The 9,455-nt window shown below is 37.4% G+C and overlaps 1 annotated feature.

Annotated features, from left to right (window-relative positions):
• Positions 5,263–6,462: an enhancer, noted in NCBI's record as "P300/CBP strongly-dependent group 1 enhancer chr9:118453216-118454415 (GRCh37/hg19 assembly coordinates)". NCBI's record gives its function as "activates an origin of replication core promoter dependent on BRD2, BRD4, P300/CBP, MED14 and CDK7 cofactors, with strong dependence on P300/CBP, by STARR-seq in HCT116 cells {active_cell/tissue: HCT116}" and the evidence as "EXISTENCE:reporter gene assay evidence [ECO:0000049][PMID:35650434]".

Below are 9,455 nucleotides of genomic sequence, written 5' to 3'. Positions count from 1 at the left end.
TTGTATGAAGGGAGGCTTTAGAAAAGATATAGGTAAACTTTCAAGCAGGATTCTACTCTGATATCTCTCTGCAAAGAGTGCAAATGTAGGGCAAAAAAGTAAAAGCTGGCCAGTCAAATAAATTGGGAACACATATTATGCCAGAAGTGGAAAATATTTCAAACAGCTCTTATAGCCTGGACATCCCTTCATTTATCCATTTGGTCATCTGGCAAATATTTATTAAGCATGTTTCATTGAAATAAAATAAATGCATTTTATATTTAGGATGACTTGGTTCCAAACTCTGAAATTTATAAACTGATTTTGGGTAAATCAGTTATTTTATCTTATCCCTACATTATTTTACCAGGAGTAAATAATCAGAATTGCTTTATAGGATTCTAATAAAGATAAACTGAGATGACTTTTGAAGGTGCTAGTCTAAGGATAGGAACATGTGAAATACTTTGAGCTTATCTCATATAAAGAGGAAATTTGGATGCAAAGATGAATAAGGTGCTTCCTTTATCCTTGAGTACCATAAATACTTGAAGATGAATATAAATTACTAGATACTCAATAGCGAGAGACACGGATAAGTGGAAGGTTTGGGTTGCAGCCGTGACCTAGACCTGAGTTCACTTTCTTCAGAGTAAGAGAAATAAGTGTCGTTATACTTAGAACTGAGGATTGCATGTAATTTGCACCCTCTTTACCTGAGTAAAAATGGCCAATAGTGCACTGTCACTATGTTTGGAGTCTGCCAAGATGTAAATGTGATCCCCCAAATGTAGAACTGGGATTAAAAGATTGAGAACCATTGCAGTGCAGAGGAGTCAACATATTGACATAATGTATGCCATATTCTCACCTCCTGTGCATTGGCAGATGTCACTATCAGATTTCAGTCCTCTTTGCTATTGAACAAAGTTGTAACCTCAAGGTTTTCTCCAGTGACCTCAGGATCAAATAAATATGACACCTTAGAAGAAATATACTTCACTTTTTGTTTTAGATACAGATAGGAATGGTAAATAGGGTTTCCATTTATTTACAAACTTCAATCAAAAGGTAGTGATTGCATCATGGAGTAGAGAATTCTGGAACTTTGTTCAGGCTTTTGAATAAAGAGAACCATTAGTGAGTGATGCCTGCTCTAGTGTATTTTTAGAGGCCCTGGAAAAGCATTTTCGTTCCTCAACTTATCTTTCAAGTCGAATATTAACATAATTTGTTTATCCAAAGTGACATGCAAAATGCTAGATCCATAAAATGACAATTCCACTTAATTTAGTAAGAGTAACCATAGGAATAATCATGAGATCCCATGGGAAAACCACTTTGGGGGAAGAGGATGTATCACAGGATTCTTCGAAAAGAGTAACCCATGAAATGAATCTTAGAGAAGGAGAAATCATGAGACAAAAGAGGGAAAGGGGTAGTATTCTAGACATAGGGATTTTTTGAGCAAAGATTAGAAGCTAAAACTAGCAAAACATATAAGGGATGCCAAGAAGAGTCAGTTGTGCTGAAACATGATGGGAAGAGCAAGGAGTGGTAGGGATGAGGCTGGGCAAGTAGGCTAGAGCCTGCATCAAAAAAGGTCTTGATTGTCATGCTAAGTTGTTCATACCATTTACTAAAAATGGAAAATCATAGAAATAATTGATGGAAAAAGTGATATGATCAGAATTGTGTTATTGAGAAAGACATTGCTAGTTACACTGAAACAACAATTAGATGAAATAAGGAGTTTGGAAGCAGCAATCTTGGCTTCCAATTCCTGCTTGGGGACTAAATTATTACATGGTATTGAGAACAAAAGTTCCCCCTTTGGATCTATCTGTTTAAGTGAAAAATGATTGAGTTGGGCAAGGTGATTTCACTGGGCTCTTGTAGATACAATATTTTATACTTATCTTTTGGTAACTGGATTATTTGATTATCTGCTCCTCAATTGTGTCATTGGAATAGTAGAGAAACTTATCTTTGGGTTTCCTACCATGTACAAAGAGATTGTATGATGTAAATGAGGTTACAGATATTTTGGAGAATGAGGAAATAGTCAAGCAAAGATGACAAATTGTCATTTTGTTTTCTAAATAAATAGCTAGCCCACAGATAATGAGGAAAATACAAGTTTAATGCATTTCCCCAAACTTGCATTTTCCCATTTATCTGTAGATAATTTCTTCTTCTATTGTGAAACATATCTTTGTGTGTGACTAATGTGGGAAGTCTTTGCTGGACCTCTATAGAGATGGGAAAATGCATTAACCTGACAAAGAATGGAGACAGAACTGTGTCACCTTTTTCACAACTTAGAGATCTAGTTCCTCAGAGCTGCAAGAAATGTTATAGATCTTCTTGTCCCATAGTTTTCAGGTTCTGTTCCTTATGACTTAGATGTTCTATGGAGGCACCTGAGGGATAACCTACCAAGGAAGAAAGCAGAGATGAGGAAGACAGCTTTTTTATTTCTTTCTCTTCTCCTAGAACCATGTTGCTGCCACACATTGAGAGCGCACTGAGAAGAAAGCCAAGTAGATATAGGTACATAGGAAATGGAGATGTGGATCTCTGATGACAGCTTTCAATTCCTCACCCAGCCATGTCTGACATGGTTCTTCCACTTAGATTTCCTGGTTATTTTAGGTAATAAATTTCCTATTTTACTTTTAAGCTTGTTTGAATTGAGTTTCTGTCCCTTATAAAGAGTTTTGAGAAGTACTTTATATGAGAATTTCATGTATGACTTTATTTAATAAAATATTTTTCCACTGTTTATCATTGGGAAAATATAAATTTGGGAACCACTGATTTCATGCAATGTAATCTTTTTTAAAGGAAGTGACTGAAACAAAATCCAGGATTATTTCCCAAAGTTACACATCAAATACATGGCACTGTTGGTGCCAGAATGCAAAGCCCCTGATGTTTGTAGCTGCTCATCTCACTCTAGTTATCTTCCCACATGCACAATATCACCACTTATCTCCACGCAACATCACTGTGACTTACCAAATATCGAGGAATAATATTCCCACACTGACCAACAGGAAATCATTTGAGGAAGAAGGCTTATCCATCTCTATAGAGGTCCTGCAAAGACTTCCCACATTAGCCACACATAAAAATGTGTTTCACAATAGAAGAAAATTTGCTCAATCAACCAGACAGTGTGGAAAGACCTTGTAGGATTCTTGGAATCCCTTAGCCCCAACAGGGGCAATACTGCTTGGACACCGTTAGTGATGTGTCATCATGGTACTGGAGCACCACCTCCTGGTTGTGTTGAAAGTTTAATTTACCTTTTCTAGTTAAAGAAGGTCTGGTATTTACTAGAAATTTATGACCTTGGAACTAGAAGGGCCTTTAAGAATGACCTGGTCCATCACTCTTCTTTCATGGATGGGGAGATAGGCCAGAAGAGGAAAAGTGATTTCCTCCCACCATAATAACCAATTAAGAGCAGGGACACAATGAGAACCCAAATGTAGTCTCCCTTTCCAGTGCCTAATTCTATGGTTGTAAAAGTTGATAATTTTTTAGTGTAAGAAACCAAAAAGAGTCTGAATTTACCTGAGGAGAAGAAACAATGAAAGTAAGTACAAACAACTTACAGAATTGAGAGGTCATTGAACAATTGAGTCACAGGCAAGAGACAATTGAGAATCTAGATAGAAAGAACCGTAGGCATTCTGTTCAGGAACTATCCCAATTCACATGAATCAGCTTTAAATGTTTCCCATTCACGCATTACTTCACTCAAGATGTATATCCTAAGGAAACAAAGACTGATTGGCCTAGATTGAGATACTTGCCAAGCCATGGTGTGAAAGTATAAGAGCCTCTGACATAATTCCATCGAAACTTTGTAGGAACTACCCCTATAGGGAGAGGTATTTTCTCAAAGGAAAATTCAATGCTGTTCCCATAAGAAAAGGGAAGGGAGCCGGGAATGGTGGCTCATGCCTGTAATCCCAGCACTTTGGGAGGCTGAGGCAGAGGAATCACCTGAGGTCGGGAGTTCGAGACCAGCTTGGCCAACATGATGAAACCCTGTCTCTAGTTAAAATAAAATTGGCCAGACGTGGTGGCATGCGCATGCATTCCCAGCTACTCAGGAGGCTGAGGCAGGAGAATCGCTAGAACCTGGGAGGTGGAGGTTGCAGTGAGCCGAGATCATGCCATTGCACTCCAGCCTGGGGGACAGAGCAAGACTGTGTCTCAAAAAAAAAAAAAAAAAAAAAAAAGAAAAAAAAAAAGAAAGAAAAAAAGAAAAGGGAAGTGATGCCAGTGAACAAAAACAACAGATGTCCAGTGCAGAAACAAAGTCAAGTTATTACTCAGGCATTTTCAAACTAGTGTCGTGAATCATCTACTCATAGACCAGAACACAAAATTCACATTTAAAATCTTCCTTTGCATTGTAGATGCCCTAGCTCCAAAGCATGGACAGCCATGACTTTACCACCTCTGAGTATCTGATACACCTGCTCCTTGGCACTTTCTGTTCCACTGCTTCTTGATATTGAAATGACATCTGTTTTACTTTTAGCTATTTCAGGAATGACAAACCAGGTCACAGAATAAGACCATATAATTAATACCTGGGCCTTGCTGTTGATGGAAAATATGAGGGGCTCAATAGAAAAGCTCCAAAACCATAGCATTTCTAAGGCCTCTCTTCTAAGAGGGGGTTCCGTCTATTATATGGAAGGTCTCCTTTAGTACAGGGCTTTTCTACTTTGGCAAAGTTGACATTTTGGGCTGGAAATTCTTTGTTGTGAGAGGCTGTCCTGTCCATTGTAGGATGTTTAGCAGCATCCCTGGCCTCCGCCTACCAGATGCTAGGAGTACCTTTTAGTTGTGACAACTAAAAATGCTGGTTGACTTTGCTGATTTTCTCCTAGTGAAGGTGACAGGGAGTGTGTAATGTATTCTAATTGAAATACATTACAGGCATATGTATTTGGAGGTGACCCCAGGATAGGTAAAACTAATTTCATTTTTTTACCCCAGAGGGAACTTTTTATCAGTCAACACGACTCAACAGTGGGAGACTTTGCCTTGGAAAGTAAGAGGTGTTTTAGGGATATTTAGCTGAAGCTGGGTACATACCGGTTAGTGATGCTGTTGGGAGTGGAGCAACATCAGATAGATGGTTTTTTTTGTTTGATTTTTGTTTTGTTTTATTCTTTAAAATGAAAAAACCCTCAGATACAGTTATTATATCATTTTATTGCTCTTTGTCCAATAGATATGTGTTTCTGTTCAGTTCTTTTTGTTACAAAGAAGCCAATAGAAACTCAATTTAATGCACAGAAAGGAGTACATGTGAACTGGATATGGAAAAGAGAAGTCATAAAAACAATTAAGGTATTCTATAGGACCCGATACTCTCTCCATCCCTCCTTCCCTCAGGGAGCCCACAGTCAGTCTTTTAAAGTCCCTCTGACCTTTTCCTCTATTGTCCTCTTCCCAGCAGCTGGCTACCTTTGCTTACTCACAGTCTTTGCTTCCTTAGGACTTGCGTTGGCAGTGACTCATTAAGGCAATTCCAACATCTTTCTCTAATTAGTATCCTTGGGGATTTAGCTACTAACCTAAAATTTCTCTCTTTCCGTTGTTTCAAATTCTAATTTCTGAAAAAGAAAAAAGAATTAAAAGTTAGATTATCCTTCTGCATGTCTGCATGTGACAGCAACATAGGTAGTTGGTCTGTGTCTAAATTTGCTGTATTTGTTACTGTGTTGTTAGTTACAAATAACAGAAAACCCTGATTCAATTGGCTTAAACAATAAGGAAAGTCTGTTATCTAATAACATAAAGTCCTGAAATAGGGCCTTTCTGGGCCAGTTAATCTTTATATCATCCCTGCAAATCCCATTGATGACCCAAGGATCTAGGTTCTATACGTGAATCTGATCTGCTATGCTCAGCGTGGTGGCTTTGTTCTAGGGCTAACTCCTCCTCATGATCATTACTGTATCCTATCTAAGCCATCTTAGCCAGACATAGCAACATCGTGTGTAAGAAGGCACTGCTCTTACTAAGTTTTCTTTTTAAGAATGAAGAAACCTTTTCCAGAAGTTCACCCGGAGACTTTCCCACATCAACCTCACATTTCATTAACCGGAATTATGACACATGCTATGACTAAGCCAAATGCTGACAAGGGGAATGAGACTACTATGTTTGACTTAGACTAATCATGTTTTAAATGTGATCAGGGGAATAGAGTCAACTTTCCTAAACAATTGATTCTTGTACAAACATCAGATTGTGTTATCAAGGACAAGATGAAATAGAATGTTTGTGGTAAGGGTGTCTGATTGACCTGGCTTTGGATTGAGTGGTTACTTCTTGCCTTTCCTTCTGTGGTCAAGGAAGATGAGATTCATGACACAGCCTTGCTGCCTAGCTAATCTATGGATGTATCTGTCCTTGGATCTGGTGCCCATCCCAATTTCAATAAATTGTTATAAATCATTCAGCTGGTGGAAATGACAGCTTCCTGTGTAGCAGGGACCATGACTATGACAGCTTCTTTTCAGATGGGGGAGTTGCTAGTACCATGATCTTGTGTCCAATAAAAATTTTTAACTCCATCTGTTTTTATATAAGTCCTCATCTTTCTCATTTGTTCAGTTATAGGTCTATCAATCCTGTACTGAGTGCCTACTATGTGTGAAGTAGTTTGGATACATAGATGAATAGTACATACAACAGAAATTGAGGAATCCACAGTAGCAGTGCCACAAACTGGAGGCTGTGTTTACCGGCATGAAATGAAATCTCCTAACAATTTCAGCTAGGACAATGTATTATCAAGAAAGGGTCAAACAGTGGTATATATGAGAAAAAATAGTTGGCTTATGAAAAAATAGCCTCTTTGCTTAAGTTTTTAATTTTTAATAATACTAAAATTAATAATAGAATTACTTTATATTCTGATACTGTTTCATAGTGCACAATGCACTTTCACTTAGCACAGTTAATCTTTATATCATCCCTGGGAATCCCACAGCAGAGCTATCTTGATTCTTACCAGAAATGGTCTTAGGATAATAATTCTCACCTGACCTCAACTATGTAAAAGGTAACATAAGTAAGAAACAGAAGAACAGGGGCTTAAACCCAAGATCTCTTGTTTCCATATCCACTCTTTATTCTACTTCATAGTCTACTAAAAACATTGTGTTTCTTTCTTGATAAAAATAAAGTCACAGGTTATTAAATGGAACTAATTATGGCACTCATGGCCTGTCCAAGTTAGTATCAATATTTTAAAAGTTTGATGATTACAAAATAAATGAAACTGACTTCTCTCAGGAGCACATACATTGGGTCAAACTAAGCTAAGTCCCATAGGTAGAAATCACCATAGGGACCTGCTATAATAAATAGATAAGAATAATCTGTAACTAGCATGTCATCTCTCTATGTATAAATTGTGTTTTAAATGTATTGAGGAAAAGTTTGCTCGCTTAAAGAGGTTAAATATTGCTGCCTGCCATCCTGTTTACACTGTTAATTTGCTTTCCAAATCCTTTTAGCTAGATAAAGCAAAGGTAAACTTCAGAATAGGCTCTGTACAAATTATCACCAATTGTAAATTAATGAGCTTTTTGCTTTATCTGAGTTGCAGAAAGACTAAACAAATGAGCTGGAATCATATATTTTCTTTCCATCTGAAGGGCTATATTCCCCCCTTTACCACTATTTCCTCTCTCAGGAAATTCAAGAGGTCCACTGATTTAATACATCCAATGTTTCAATATAAAATGGACAGCCAGGCCACCCTTTATCTTTTTTTGTTTCACCCAATTGGTGACTAAGCCTTACTTACTGGTTTAATCTAATTTTTCCCTTTCCAAACTTACATTCAACATAATCAAACACTAATGTAATTGTGTATGATGTCTTCCTTTCTTCACAATTCTATAACGAGGGGAAAAGGTTTTGTCAGTAGGAGTGGTATCATATGTAGTTTAACTAAAGGAGCAATGACTTATTGTACTCTCTCCCATTATGTGGCCCAGTTGAGGCTAATTAACTCCCATTTATATACTCTTTACCTCAATTCATACCAGGAGTTTGAACCTGCTCTTCCCAATTCATGAATTTTGTAATGGAGAACATTGGATCCAGACAAATCCTGATTTAATTTCAACTTTACACCCTCAGGCAAGTTACTTCCCTTTATTAAGACTACATCTTTCCATATGTAAAATGAGATTATCTGATGTGATTAAGATCTCTTCAAAATATTCAACATGTTTTACTTCCACTTTGCTAAATTTTTATCAAAGTAGTGTTCTCTAATTACCCACATCATCAGAACTACTCAAATATTGTTCATGCACTTCTTTAGAGCACTTTGGAAAATTTCAACAGAATTGGTTGTCTGGTAAACCCAAGGTCACAGGCATAGAAACCAGTTTATAGTATTCTCTTGCAAAATATCTAATGATATCCATAATGTGGAAAGCAAACAATAATTTTATGTCCAAAAATAGAATAAACTGTTCTACCTGGCAACCTTTGCCAGGAGAACAAATGCTTGCTTTTGAAATTTATCCTTCCCTACACCATGACCAGGCTGAATGTATATATTCATGACCTAGGCATTTTTCCTGCCACCTCCAAAAATTTGTTTTTTACCATTTATCATTTTGTCTGGATAATGTGCATGATGATTTCAAAACCTAGTAAAACCTATACATGTTTGATTTGTTCTTCTTTCTACAAATAAAACAAAACAAGAAAAAAGTGACAAAAAAGCAATACCTTACAGGTAGCTACATTTTATAAAACCTATTTACTCTCTTGTCTTATTCAACAATAACAGCCAAGCAAGCAAATAACAGAAGAAGTAAAGGAAGCCAAACAACATCAAAATTTAAAACCAACCAACTAGTCATGTGTGGTGCCTCATGCCTGTTGTCTCAGCACTTTGGGAAGCTGAGGTGCAAGGATCGCTTGAGGCCAGGAGTCTGAGACCAGCCTAAGCAACATAGCAAGACCCTGTCTCTACAAGAAAAAAATAAAAATAAAAATTAGCTAGGTGTACTGTGTACCTGTAGTCCCAGCTACTTAGGAGGCTAAAGCAAGATGATCTTTTGAGTCCAGGAGTTTGAGGCTACAGTGAGCTGGGATTGCAACCTCACTCCAGCCTGTGCAAGAGAGCAAGACCGTGTCTCAATAAACAAAAACAGAAATAAAACAAAAAAAACAAGTAACCAGTCACCACCACCGTCACCACCACCACCGTCACCACCACCACCATAACAACAACAGAAAATGCATGGTTTCAATCACCACCCATTTGTAGAGAACTTTTGATTCATAGACCCAGGCCAGATCTCTCCCCGCCTGAACTATAAACTTGTGTACTTCTTTTGCCCCCTTGACATTTCTATCTGCATATCTCACTGAAAATTTTATTTCTATATACATATCTAACT

This window comes from Homo sapiens, chromosome 9 (genome assembly GCF_000001405.40).
Source record: "Homo sapiens chromosome 9, GRCh38.p14 Primary Assembly".
In the NCBI taxonomy this organism is placed as follows: Eukaryota; Metazoa; Chordata; class Mammalia; order Primates; family Hominidae; genus Homo; species Homo sapiens.
The sequence above is the reverse complement of the archived record's forward strand: the minus strand, read 5'-3'. Positions and strand labels throughout refer to the sequence as shown.